General features: G+C 41.8%; 1 protein-coding gene and 1 pseudogene across 21 annotated transcripts in view; one reads left to right on the top strand and one right to left on the bottom strand.

The window, feature by feature from the left end:
- The first annotated feature begins 2,043 nt into the window (after window positions 1–2,043).
- Window positions 2,044–14,836, top strand: part of CCDC68 (coiled-coil domain containing 68) — a 57,953-nt gene continuing 45,160 nt past the window's right edge. For 9 of the 21 annotated variants that reach the window (XM_011526199.3, XM_047437870.1, XM_047437867.1 and 6 more), the window contains exon 1: window positions 2,044–2,169. The gene's annotated coding sequence lies outside the window, so the exon portion shown is untranslated. Of the gene's footprint in view, window positions 2,323–3,456; window positions 3,531–11,052; window positions 11,913–14,836 lie in introns of those variants that run through there. The other 12 variants (XM_017026011.2, XM_011526200.3, XM_047437868.1 and 9 more) reach the window with 4 other exon arrangements.
- On the bottom strand, window positions 6,468–7,092 carry MAP1LC3P (microtubule associated protein 1 light chain 3 pseudogene; annotated as a pseudogene).

The following is a 14,836-nucleotide window of genomic DNA, read 5'->3' as shown; positions in this document are numbered from 1 at the left end:
TTTAACTCTTACTTTTCTAACTTTGTTAAAAATAGTTGAAAGATAGAAAATGAGTTAGCTCTGCAGTTCTGGAGTACTCACTGGTACTTCACCGCATCCTGTGTTTACCCAGCTCAACCCAAGCTAATGGAGAAGTAGATTTCCTTCTCCAGGAAGGGTCAAGGCCAGGAAGAGAGGTGGACAGGTCTCAGAAAGCAGGCAGTGTCAAATGCTGAGCAAAAGCCAAGCTCAGAAGGAGGAAATGTGGTGTTTATGGAACCAACTTGCAAATGCAAACATGAGCAAACCAAAGCAATGTAACAAATGATCCTCAACAGCTGGGTTTCTTCAATGCTGAAACTTGTAATAAACATCCATGGCTATCTTTGGAACACGATTTGTCTGTAAACATACATACATCTATTTACTAGAACCACAAGGATTAGTTAACAAAAAAATTACCTAAGAACCATCAACTTTCACTTCTCCAATTGGGTCACAATCTACAAGTTAATCTGCTAGGAAAAAAAAAAAATAACATTCCTCTCTAACTGTGGTGGGAATCAGTAATCATAGGATTCCCAGGAAGATTCTGAAAAGCCCTTGGATATTGAAGGATTTGGGTTGCAGTTTTCTCAATCTGTTAGATGTTGAGGGGGGGCGGAGGAAATACACCTTTTTTTTTTCCCCACAATCCTAAAAGTTTATGAACTTTCAGAGAGACACAGGAGCCAACCTGAAAGAGTTCCCAGTGGTCAAAGCTGGAACCATTTGAGCAACAAAATTAATAATGTAGTATTGAATTCTAGCCCAAAGTATAAAATAAATATACATGGGTCCATACTGACATAACAAATACTGACATAAATGATTGAATAAACAAGAGAGATGGAACAAATCTTCCTTACAGAATCATTCTAAATAATAACATATAGATACTCCCTGCTCTGGGATGGAGTTTAATCTTGCCCTCATCTTGAGTGTCAGCTGAATTGAGTCATGCCATTCATGCCATTCAGAGTAGAGTGTATGGAAAGAGAAAAACAGCTTTGCAGTAGAGAAACCTGGCAGACACAACCTTAACTATGGGATCAAGGTCAAGTCACCAGTGATAAGTCACCTGGCCATCGTGCCATCGTCCCTGAGAGGATGCAGTGGGGAAGGCACTTCATCTCTGAGTCTTTCCTCCCCCCAGTCTCATCATGAGAAAAAAACAGTAGACAATACCCACATGAGTGGGTGTCGAGGTACCCCCACAAAACTATACCTTACCAGAATACTTCATCACAATACTTTACTAGAATTCTTTACAGCTGTCAAAGTCAAGAAAAGACAGAGAAACTGTCATGGATTAGAGGAGACAAAGGGCACAGGATGCTAAATGCAGTGTGGTATCCTGGCTGGGATCCTGAAAGGGAAAGGCGTTAGCCAAAAAGCTAGTGACAGCTACATCAAGTCTGGAGTAGTGTTAATAGTGGCAGATCAATGTTAATGTCTTTTAAAAAATATTTTTAGTAGAAATGAGGTCTCGCTATGTTGCCCAGGCTGGTCTCGAACTCCTGAGCTCAAGCGATCCTCCCGCCTGCCTTGGCCTCTCAAAATGCTGAGATTACCAAGGCGTGAGCCACCGCACCTGGCCCAATGTGAATTTCTTAGTTTTGACAAATGTGCCACAGTTATGGAAGCTGTAGGCATTAGGAGACACCGACTGAGGGGTATATAGACGACTCTCTCTACTATCTTTGCAACTTTTTTTAAGTTCCAAAAGAAAGTTTTTTAAAAAAACAACAAAATTGCACTTGTACTCCATAAATTTATACTAAAAACAATAAAATCAAAAATTATTTAAAAAACAAAAACAAAAGTTTATAAACTTAGGGTGCAAATAGAACCTTCTTGAAAAGCAGCGGCCGATCCCCTCCCCCCACCCGCCTGTACAGCACCCTAGCGAGGGGCGTGAGGGGCAGAGCCTGGCTCTCCAGCGCTGGGCGTACGCGTCCTGCCGCGACTCCTCCCCGGGGCCTCACCGGCGCCGGACTCTGCCCTGGGCGCGCCCCGCGGGGCGGAGCCAAGCCTGCGGGCGGTGGCGGCTGCACTCGCAGGGCCCTGGCAGCCGACCCTGGCCCCAAGGTCCGATCGCCCAGGGGAGGAGCAGCACCGGGACCCCGCGTCGGCTGGGCGCCCCACAAGGTAGGCGAGTCTGGCCACCTTCGGGCCCGGTCCCTGCGGCGCGCCCCCGCATCCCCTCCATGTGTGTGGGTGTCCAGGTGCCTTTCCAGCGGCTTCCCCAGTGGAGTTCCTGGCATCAAGGACATTTCCTGTAAAAGGGTCCTTGTTGAAGAGGTAATCCTCCCTGGAAACCTCGGTTCTGGGCTCGAATTTCCTGGGCGAGAAGTTTCTTCCCCATTGGGAAGAGCTGCTTTTCCGCAGAGAGGAACCCCTACTTAGTCCGGCGCACACCTGATTATTTATTTAGGTTGTTGTTATACAATCCGTTTGTCAGGGGTCCCCGCGATTTCTGCCTGCTAATTTCAGAGGCTATGGAGAAAAGTCCTGCGGTAAACGCCCTGACCTAGGAACTCCAGCGTGGTGGCTTTGACAGGTCACTGCGCTCGCATTTTTTAAAGAGCAGAGATGAATGAAGGTGGCTGTCTTCATTCATTTGTGCGGGCTTCTGCAGCCGCAGGTGTAGTAAAAAGAGCAGCCCATTGCTTGACCTTTTCCTTAATGTTGAGTAGCATCATGATATTTTAGATGTGGAAGTTACAGAGTGCTAGGCGGCTAGACAAAGGAACACTCTTATCTTACTGAAGGTTAGTACGGGACCGTGCAAGTGTAGTTTTTAGATTGGATGATAACATAGCTGTGAATTTTCAGCCTTTTTGGAAGTGAAGACAAAATTGAATATAAGGATCAGAACAAGCAACAAGCCCTGAACATAACTGAAGGTGTACCTGCTCCCCATTATATTCTGATTGTTTTATTTTAGGAATCAAAACCTCTTTTACTTTCTTGGTGTATATAGTTCGGATGAAGTGTCAGAATACAAAAAGGAATTATTCTGTGTTTGTGATAGGGAGGAGATAATCTGTTCTTTTGATTTTACCTAATGCCATTAAATATTCAGAGCTACTGAAGTCTGGTTTTCCTGATATGTGAGCTGGGCAGGAGTGTCAGGTACCCTGGCAGACACAATTGGTGCTGTTGTTATGCTTTTCCCCCGCTGCCCACTCTCTTCCCCACCCCACTCCCAATTTGAGAGGGAAGGCCCCTGACACAGAGGAATTTCTGCCCAAGGCAGGGAGTATCCCCGTGTGGTTCCTCAAATGTTTGCAGAAAGAATGAAAACAACTACACTTCTTGGGACCCAGGCCAACGTCATAAGGCCGACGTCATAAGAAGGTTCTTTCCTCTTGTTATTTACAAAATAAATTGATCCCTTGTCCTAACTAGAAAGAGACTTTTGAAATTAATACTGTTGCTATTTTGTGAATTACTGATAGGCATGTTATTTGTTAGCTTATTTGTTTACAGTATGCTCAACATTGAAGGTGAGTTGTAATCCAAATTTTGGCCAAAGCTAAAAAATGTAAGCTAGATTTAGACAAACCTGAAAAATGAGGTGTTTATTTGCTTGGAATAATGACTGAAAGGGGAAATAACTGAAGATTTTGATGGGAATGTAAAAGTCTTTTAAAATAGTAGTTTCTCATCTTTAGAACTGAGATATTTACATCAAAATTATATGGCTATTTATTGATTGAAAACATTTCATAATGGCAAAATTTTACCATGAATTTACTAACACGTTTAAATGAATGTCATTTACTAAGCACAAAAACAGCCATTTATATAGGTTTGGAAAATGAGAGAGAGAGAGAGAGAGAGAGAGAGAGAGTGTGTGTGTGTGTGTGTACATTGTTTTAGAAACTATTTGGTACATCTGTAAATTTGTGGGCCTATTCATGTATTCATTGAAACAATATTTATTGAGGACACTGTGTTCTGTGTGGGAGAACCAGATGGGAGGGGAAGTAGGGTCTGGGCCAAACACAGCCCTGTGTAAATCAGACACATTTCTATCCTCCTGGAATTTACTACATTGGAGTCCTCCAGGCCACCCCAAGTCAAGGCCATAGATTTACAGACCACATAAATGATCCATTCAATTTCGACAGTGACTAAAACTAGATTAGTTTCAAATCACATATTTCCTTTCACTGATTTAAAAAGTCAAGTCTAAAAATGATAGAGGAGCTTGCATGTTATTCTGCTCAGTGGTTTTCTCTTTTGTTTAGGTTGGGGAAGAACTTAGGAATCATGTGTTCCAGGCTTAATGTTATGAAATATTAACTTAAAATAGCTAAGTATCAATTTCATGCAAATTAAATAAAAACTAAACTTGTAGTATGGATGACAATAATCTAGAGACAAAAATTAATGAACAAAAAATTTAAAACTGAAAAACATCTATCCATTAAATTATATTTTTTCCTATAAATTAGAAAAATAAGACTACAGTTACATTCACCCCACCCCCAGAGGAAAACAGCATCTTTATTCAAGTTATTCTTACTTTTCCTTCTGTATTTTTTTTTAAAAAAGCTTTATTGGAGGTATAATTTACATACCATAAAATACATCCAAGTGTATAATTCAATGATTTTTGGTAAATTTACTGAATGGTGCAACCATTAGCACAATCCAATTTTAGATCACTTCATCATTCCCCAAATATCCCTGGGGCCTGTTTGCAATCACTCACCGTTCTTACCCCAGCCCCAGCAACCCCTAATCTATTTTGTCTGTTTAGATCTGCCTTTTCTGGACATTTCATACAGATGGAATCGTACAATATATAGTCTTTAGCATCTGGCTTTTTTCAGTTAGAATAGCTGTTGAGGTTTATTCAGGTTGTCACATGTAGCTGTAGTTGGTTCCTTTTTATTGCTTAACTAGGATTTATTCCATGCCATGGCTATGCCGCATTTTGTTCACCATTTGGTAGACCTTTCTGCAAATACTTTTGCATGGTAAAACAGATACATTGGTGCAGCTTCTATGGTAGCATAATGTGAGAATAACTGATATGAGCCAACCTCTTATTTGGTGCTTTGACTCTCTTCTATGATAATTTTAAATATGAATGCCAAGAGTTAAACATCCAGGTTCCTATTAAGCAGTGGTGTTTTCTGTGTGTAACTCTCCAACAAACCAATGTTAAGAACTTCTTACCTTGGCTGGGCACAGTGGCTCACACCTATAATCCCAGCATTTTGGGAGGCTGAGCTGGGCAGATCACGAGGTCAGGAATTCGAGACCAGCCTGACCAACATGGTGAAACCCCATCTCTACTAAAAATACAAAAATCACCTGGGCGTGGTGGCATGCGCCTGTAATTCCAGCTACTCGGGAGGCTGAGGCAGGAGAATCGCTTGAACCAGGGAGGCAGAGGTTGCAGTGAGCCAAGATTGCACCATTGCACTCCAGCCTGGGCAACAGAGCAAGACTCGTCTGAACTTCTAATTTTCCCCAGCAATTTGGGAGGCTGAGGCAGGTGGATCACCTGAGGTCAGGAGTTGGAGACCAGCCTGGCCAACATGGTAAAACCCCTTCTCTACTAAAAATGATTTTTTAAAAATTAGCTGTGTGTGGTGGCATGCGCCTGTAATCCCAGCTCCTGGGGAGGCTGAGGTAGGAGAATTGCTTGAACCTGGGAGGTGGAGGTTGCAGTGAGCTGAGATGTCACCACTGCACTCCAGCCTGGGCAACAGAGCGAGACTCTGCCTCAAACAAACAAACAAACAAACAAACAAAAAAGAACTTCTTAACTTTGCAAGAACATTGACTTTTGGTATACCTCTGTTAGGAATCAGGAAACTGGAATAGCAGTTCCCAGCCAGAATTGTTTTCTTATATATCTCCACTGACCTTGCTTTGTGCTAACTATTATGGCAAATGCATTTTGAGTGGTGGGGGCGGGTCATGCTTCACAACTTATGCTTAAATATCCTCTTAGGAAGATTTCTCTAGTAGAACAGAAATCCTTTTATAAAAATCTAGCCAGTTCTGTGAGCCTAAAAAGAAGACAGTGTCTCTCTGAGTGCCCTTAAGTTACTACTCAAATTGCAAATTCCTTTTGGGGGAAAAAAAAGAGCATCAAAATAACTTGAGGTCTGTTTGTGTGTGTGTGTGTTTTTCAAGACGGGGTTGTATTCTGTCACTGACGCTGGAGTGCAGTGTCAGGATCCTAGCTCACTGAAGCCTCAAACTCCTGGGCTCAAGTGATCCTCCTGCCTCACTCAGCCTCCTGTATGGCTGGGACTACAGGAATGTGGCACCATGCCTAGCTAATTAAATTTTTTTTTTCATAGATGGGGCATCACTGTGTTACCCAGACTGGCCTCCAATTCCCAGCCTTAAGCAATCCTTCCACCTTGGCCTCCCAAAGTGCTGGGATTATAGATGTGAACCACTGTGGCCAACTTTTGAAGTCTATTTTATTGGCAATTTAGAATGCAAACTATTTTTTTTAACATCTACAATTTGAAAAGAAGATAATGTAGGTTAAATAATATAGTTTTCCAAAGCTGAATGTCTTCATTTGCAACTCATTTTTTTCTGCTTGAAATGTCAAACAACTTCCTAAAACTCCTAGATGAGAATACTACTACTGTTTTGATGATCTGTTTGTGATTGGATGGAGTAATCAATCTTGTTTGGTAATACACCTTTGTTTCCTTGGTAAGGATTTTTAAAATTCTAAAACAAATGCATTTTTTTTCTAGCCTTATACTCACGATTTTATAGCAAGTATCTCCTAAGAGGTATTTACCATCTACAGGAATCCACCTTCATCATTCTCACTTTCATATACTCCAGGGATCAGGATCAGGGCAGAGACATTCACCAAGCTATGTTGGTTTATCAAGAGAAAGAAGGCTTGATTAGTATTGAGCTGTAAGCACCTGCTATTTATTTTGATTAGGTCACTTACATTGTTGTGATCTGATACAAGGAACTTAGTTTTACCCAAAGTGGGAAGCTGCCTCTGACTCTTCTATCTTTCTATAAACACCTGGATTTTGGTAGGATGCTGCTCTTGGATAAGTCAAACGTCTTCATGGTGTGGGAGGGTGGGCGATGGTGTTGATAAAAAGTAGGGTCATGGCCCGGCATGGTGGCTCACACCTGTAATCCCAGCACTTTGGGAAGCTGAGGCGGGTGGATCGCCTGAGGTCAGGAGTTTGAGACCAGCCATAGGCAACATGGTAAAACCCCATCTCTACTAAAAATACAAAAATTAGCCGAGTGTGGTGACACATGCCTGTAGTCCCAGCTACTCGGGAGGCTGAGGCAGGAGAATTGCTTGAACCTGGGATGTGGAGGTTGCGGTGAGCTGAGATTGAGCCACTGCACTCCACCCTGGGTGACAGAGTGAGACTATGTCTGAAACAAAAAAAAAAAAAGAAAGAAAGAAAGAAAGGAAGGAGGGAAGGGAAGGGAAGGCGAGGGGAGGGGAGGGGAAGGGAGGGGAGGGGAGGGGAGGGGAGGGTCCTGGCTGTTTCAGGCCCTGAATAAGTAGATATTTTCATCATCGATCCAACAGTGTATGTGCAGATGGACAAATATGAAGAATGAAAACATATTGTGCATCTAGAAAGCTATTAGAAAAGGAATGGGTAGATGAGAAAAGAAGTTCTAGGTTCACAAATTAGATTTAAAGCTTGTTGGAAATATTCTTATATTTCTTATGTATTATTGTATATTTCCTTCTACTTTATCACCTTTAATAAACAGTGCTTATGATTAAGTTTTTAAAAATGTTTAAAAGGCTTTCCTTGTTTCTGTCATACTGAATGCTAAGTTTAATTGACTAGTCATGTAGCGTGAGCTAGAATCAGCAGCCCAGTTGCCTGTTGTTTTTAACAACCCTGATTCCATTGCTCTCTATCTATGTATCTCTCTCTCTCTATATATATATATGTGTGTGTGTGTGTGTGTGTGTGTGTGTATGTATATATATAATCATTTACACTCTTTTGGGGGTCAAGAATTTGAATGAAGAAAAACAAATCCAATTAATTTTGGCTTCCAGTTACTTCTGATAAAATCAGTGAAGGTTCTTGGATTTTGAAATCTCAGTTGTGCATTGCTTTTTTTAGATCCTGCCAGGTTACTATTTTTTAAATAACATGTACAAATTCATCTTTTTCAGTATAGACTATTGTAAGTTTTTGGAAATTGTTATAGTCATAGAACCATGATCACTAACAAGATATATTCCCCCACTCCAAAGTCCTATGTGTTCCTTTTGTAGTTAACCTGTCCCCCACTGCCAGTCCCAAGTAACCACTATCCCTTTTGATTCCTACAGTTTTTACTTTTCTAGAATGTCAAATGGAACCATAGAATATGTAGCTCCTTGAATTTGGCTGTTTCAGTTAGCATGATGCATTTGACACTTATCTATGTTGTTGGGTGTATCCGTAATACATTCCTTTTTTTTTTTTGAAACAGAGTCTCACTCTGTCACCCAGGCTGGAGTGCAGTGGCACAATTTCAGCTCATTGCAACCTCTGCCTCCCAGGTTCAAGCGATTCTTGTGCCTCAGCCTCCTGAGTAGCTGTGATTACGCACGTGCACCGCCACAACTGGCTAATTTTTGTATTTTTAGTAGAGATGGGGTTTCGCCATGTTGGCCAGTCTGCTCTCGATCTCCTGACCTCAGGTGATCAGCTCGCCTCGGCCTCCCAAAGTGCTGGGATTACAGGTGTGAGCCACCATGCCTGGTCCATTCCTTCTTAATGAGGAGTTGTATTCACCTGTTGGTGAACATTTGACTTGTTTGCAGTGTTTGGCAATTATGAACATTTGTGTGCAGGTTTTATGGAATATAACTTTTCATTTCACTTGGATAAATACCAAGGCATGGGGTTTCTGGGTTGTATACTATGTATTTAACTGTATAGGAAACTGCCAAGCTGTTGTCCGCAGCAGCTCCACATTTTCCATTCCCATCAGCAACAGACAGGAGTTCCAACTGTTCCACATCCTCACCAGAACTGGTATGGTTTCTCTTTTTCCCCTTGCTGGATAATTTTTTTAAATGACATAAATTATGTTCAAGCTAAAATAATCCAGGACAAGCTCAGAAAACTGTAGGTATTTTATAAATTCCTGGGCTCTTCACTCCTAAAATATTTTATAGAGCCACAAATGACATTTTCTAAAAGGGCATCATGTAAATGTTGCAAGTGACTGTGACATATGTCATTGACCTCAGCTTCCTTTTATATTTTATTGACTGGCAAGTGTTACTCAGCTTTTGGGTTGACTTGTTAATAGAGAAGTTCAAATCAGGAGGAATAATTGGCTGATGGGTTAAGGAAAGAATAGTGAGGGGAAAACTAAGCTTGGGAATTGACACTTTCAAATCATGTCCTACAAGCAAATGTCCACAATAAGTTGTGAGTATAAACATTATGATTTAATATTAATTTAATGTGCATGAAGTCAGATGCTCCATTAAGCACTTTTCATGCATTATCTCATTTAATCCTCACATAGCTCTGAGAAGGTTGGCATTCTCATCTGAATTTTTCTGTTGAGGAACTGAGGCTTAGGGAGTTTAAATGATTTTCCAAGACCTCCCAGCTGGTGATGAAGTGGAACAGAGTCTTGTAGGCAGAACAACTGAGTCCAAATCCCTTGTTTTTAAGCCATGCAGCCAAACTGCCTTTGTTCATGGAATAAATCTACTGGGACAACAACATCTGTTCAGGCTCCTGAAGGACACACCTGGGACCTCCCATCAGGAGTTCTGTGACTGTTACTTGGTGACCTACTTTGGAAAACTTTGATTCTTAAGCTATCTTGGGCCCAAGAAGTTGAGGCTTAGAAACTCCTTCAGAATGTAGCAGAGGCAAAGTGGTAAGTTAGAAGGAGCTAGTAGACTCATGAGAAAGAGCCAGACAACTCATGGTTTGGGATCCAATGGCCACCAACTAGTTATCTTTGTTTATCTTGTTGAGCCTTGTTTCTTCATCTGCAAAATGGGAATAATAATATCAACCTCTCAGGGCATATGTGAGAAGTATTATAGAGAGCATACCCTACCTGGCATATAGTCCTCACTTAACAAATCCTGGCCCCTCCTTCCCACTCTTCTCCAGATGGGAAGGGATGCATGTGCTTTGTACCTTTTTGCAGTTTAGTTGCTGAACTGAACATTGGCTGAAGCTTTCAGCTGTTTTTCAATGTTTCAAATTATGCCAGTGAACTATGAGGATAGACTATTTCATTAAAAAGACATCTGGGCCGGGCGCGGTGGCTCACGCCTGTAATCCCAGCACTTTGGGAGGCCGAGGCGGGCGGATCACGAGGTCAGGAGATCGAGACCATCCTGGCTAACACGGTGAAACCCCGTCTCTACTAAAAATACAAAAAATTAGCCGGGCGTGGTAGCGGGCGCCTGTAGTCCCAGCTACTCGGGAGGCTGAGGCAGGAGAATGGCGTGAACCCGGGAGGCGGAGCTTGCAGTGAGCCGAGATCGCGCCACTGCACTCCAGCCTGGGCGACAGAGCGAGACTCCGTCTCAAAAAAAAAAAAAAAAAAAAAAAAAAAAAGACATCTGAATTTGGGGTCAACCTAATTGTGTTCAGTTGATGAGGTTCTTATAACCTAGAAAATCTTACATCCTTTTTTGTGCCTTATTGCATCATATATATATATATACACTGAAGATAATAACAATAACACAGTGAAGTAATGATTAATTTGGGCAATATATGAAAAATTATTTGGTAAATGGCACATGTTTTGTCAATAGTACATATTTATATATTGTGTTTACACAAATATTTCATTTTTCCTCCGAAATAGCTTTTATCTTATATCTAAGAATTTTCTATAGCACTGGCTATAATATATGTGTATATACAAATGATTAGCATGTAGTTGAATAAAATTAATTCTGCTTAGCAAAAGTTTGGATTCTTATTTGAAAACAGAACTTGGGTACAGCGTAACATGCATGTCTTTCGTATACTGTGCTCGTTTTCAGATAAACTGCACAGTCACCTGAGATTTAGCCAGCTGACACTGGATGTCACCATTGTGCTGTGTAATGTAGCTGCAGAACAGGTGTGCTATTTAGTATTCAGGACATGGTTAGCCTCATCAAGGGTTTGGAGATAACGTTCGCTATTTTCCCTCATATAACCGAATTATCCGTGTGGCACTTTTGTAGTGACTTACTTTTTCAGTTTCTAATATTCAAGCTCTATAAAATAGTAATCAGAAATGAACAAATAATCTCTTAGAACCAGGAAACAAAAATCTGAAAACTCAGAAACTGTGCTAAAACCAAGCAGGGCTCTTGATTGCAATCCAGAGTAATTGACTCTGGCTGACTTGGTAGAAGAAGAATTTACTGAGAGGATATAGAGCAGCTACCGGAATTGATGGGAATGTTGAAAAACTAGGTTTGGAAAATGGGAGGATCTCATATGCTAGGACACCGGTGAAATCAGGTTGTGAGATGAGGAGTTAGGATCCTCCTGACGTAGCCACTGGACACTGGCCACTGGATACTGCCACTGAATTTCCTGCCACTTGGACATGAAGCACCACTCTGTGTCAGAGACTCCTTCCCTTTCCTGAACAATGACTGGATTTCCACTGCCTCCAGCTCCAACCAGCCAGATGGCCATTCCCTGAGTTGCACTTCCAGCGGGAGCTGTCATTTGGCTGATTCTAGATGTTGTCCCTGTGCCCCAGCTCCAGGGAGTGAGCATGAACAAGTAAGAGACCTTTCCTGCAAGACTCATACAGATGGTGCCTCAGCATATCTGGGAAGGAGATTCAAGCACAAGCTAGCCAAAACCTGCCAGACATCCAGCATGGTGCTTTTCAATCAGCAGCCCCCAGACGTGAGTGAATACCTCTGTGCGGTCAATCAGACTTCATTGTCCCTTCTCTGGGCTGACCTGGAGTCAGTTGTTTACACCTTGCAGTACCTGACAGCTTCACTCTGTCTTTGCCTCAATCCTGGGGGATCCGTAATAGCCACTGCTAGACCTGTTTTAATGTGGCCAAGGAGACAACTCCTTAGGCAAACGAAGCCTCAAAAAGTTTAGATCAAAAAGAAAAAGGTCCTGCAACATTAAAAGAAAAGAAAATGGTAGACTTTGCTATGTGCCGTGGTTTTCTTAGAATACTGCTCTAGGGACCGGGTGCTGTGGCTCATGCCTGTAATCCCAACACTTTGGGAAGCCAAGGTGGGTGGATCACTTGAGCACAGGAGTTCAAGACCAGCCTGGCCAACATGGCGAAACCCCATCTCTACTAAAAATACAAAAAAATTAGCTGGGTTTAGTGATGCAGCTCTGTAATCCCAGCTACTTGGGAAGCTGAGGCACGAGAATCACTGGAACCCAGGAAGTAGAGGTTGAAGTAAGCAGAGATCACGCCACTTAACTCAAACCTGGGCAAGAGAGTGAGAGACCTTGTCTCAAAAAACAAACAAACAAACAAAAACACTGCTCTAGGCACCTGCCAGCCTCTGCTCTTGCTTTCCCATTTGCCTGGAACTCTCTTCTCCTAGATCCCAGAGAGCCACATGGCTTGCACCTGATTTTCTTCATCTTTTGCTCAAATACCACCTCCTCAGATCAGCTTCCCTCACTGCTCATCTAGAACAGCACCTCCTTTTACCCTTGGTCCCCTGATCAGCTTTTCTTCACGTCACTCATCACAGCCTCCCTTAGACTCCCTCTATATTTACTCGTTTGTTTAATGTCTGTCTCTCCCTTTGTACTGAAAATCCTACGAAACTAGGGTCTTTGGCTCAGCCCTGTAACCACAGTTCCTAACACAGTGGCTTTCTGTAAATATTTACTCTCTCAATAAATGAATCAAGAGTTAAGTAAAGAAAGGAAACACTCTTGTTACAGTCTCTACAATATAAACAGTGTCTGTAATCCTTTTCTAGGGTTGCTCTAACAAAGTGCCACACACAGAGTGGCTTGAACAGGGAAATGGATCATCTCTCAGTTCTAGAGCCTAGAAGTTCAAGATCAAGGTGTCTGCAGGGCTGGTTCCTCTTGAAGGCTGTGGGAGAGATCTGTTTCATGCCTCTCCCCTGCTTCTGGTGGTTTGCTAGTAATCGTTGGTGTTCCTTGGCATGCAGAAGCATCGCTACATCTCTGCCTTCATTTTCACAGGGCATTCGGTGTTCTCATCTCTCGACACATTGCTCCTTTTCATAAGGATATCAGTCATATTGGAGTAGGGATCCACCCTACTCCAGTGTGACCTCATGTTTACTGAACTAATTACACCTGCAAAACCCTATTTTTAAATAAGGTCCCATTCTGAGGAACTGGGGGTTAGGACTTTAACATGAATTTGAAGGGAGGACACAATTCAACCCATCACAGGCATTTGTTTGTGTTTATTGTGTAGTACTGCTATTCTCATGTCATTAACCAGAGCACAAGGTTTAGTTAGATTCTCCTGGGTGCCTGGTGGTGTGGTGGTTTATCACATGGATTATGGTTCACAATAACGTGTGTGCATTGCTTTGTAGATTGTAAACTCTTCAATAGATGTTAGCATCATTGTTTGAGGAAACTGACAAATTATCGGTGCATTAGCAATAAGGAATTTCTCCCCCGGGTTTGCTAGTCTTAAAGTCCCCCAAAGCAATTTTTCCTTCATAGCCCAGTAACAGATTATTTAAAATATAACCTGCTTCTTTCCTGGAAGAAAGGAAACCACCCAGATTTCATGTCAGCCTTAATTGTGGATAGTGGTTTCATATTTTATGTACTTGTTTGACAAATATGTACAAATCATTTATTATATATTAAATGTGCTGCTATAAGTGCTTGACAAATATTAACTCATGAACAACCCCACATTGATTATTGTTAATAATTAATGTTATTTTCATTTTACTGTTAAGGAAACCGAGGCACAGAGAAGTTAAGGGACTTGACAGAGGTCACACAGGTATGGAGTGGCAGAATGGAGCCATGAGACTAGGCAGGCTGCCTCTAAACTGTTTCAGCTGTGGAACCTTCTTTCTTCACAGAAAGCCTCATGGAAAAATTCAGTGTGTGAGACAGAATAAAGCAGAGCTGGGGTGGTTGAAGTTGAGGTGGCAGAGCCCTGTCTATTCAGCAGCCCTCTGCCTCCTCCCTGGGAGCCCTGTTTGAAAGGCACTTGTCTAGGAAATACCTCCTCTTGGCGTGATGCCACCTGTAAGCTGTCTTCAATCCATTCTAGCATAAGACAAATAAAAGTCTTTCCTTACTTTAATTAACTGATTGTGATTTATTTTGAAAATTTTATCCCCTTAATCTACTTCTGGCTGAAATAAAATGCTAACATGGATTTTCCCCAGGATAGTAATGCCATATGGCAATTTGGACTTCGCCGGCTTATGTTCCCCTTGGGTTTCTTTATACCAACCAAGGACTCTGGGTACAAAAGTTTTCTGAACCAAAGACAGAAATGGAATTTAATTTCATATGGATACAGTTATAAAGCTTTGCAACCAGATAGATGTGAACTACCTGCCCTGCTTGTCTTCTGTGGCTATTGATAATATAAAATAACAGGGCAACACTATTGACAGTGACTGTCCAGTGAGTGCCTTCTGCTAGCAGGCATTTAAAAAAAAAAAACTCATTTTCCTATCTCTAGGTGTTATCACCCCTACCTGACAGCTATGTAAGTGAAGACAAAGATTTTATGTAACTTGTTTAAGGTGGCCCAACCAGTGAGTGGAAAAGGTGGGAAGTTTTCAGAAATATCAGTCATCAAGAAACAAAATTCCTTGATTTTAAGA

Source organism: Homo sapiens, chromosome 18 (assembly GCF_000001405.40).
Source record: "Homo sapiens chromosome 18, GRCh38.p14 Primary Assembly".
Classification (NCBI taxonomy): domain Eukaryota; kingdom Metazoa; phylum Chordata; class Mammalia; order Primates; family Hominidae; genus Homo; species Homo sapiens.
Note: the sequence above shows the minus strand (reverse complement) of the source record. Positions and strands in the feature narration are given on the sequence as shown.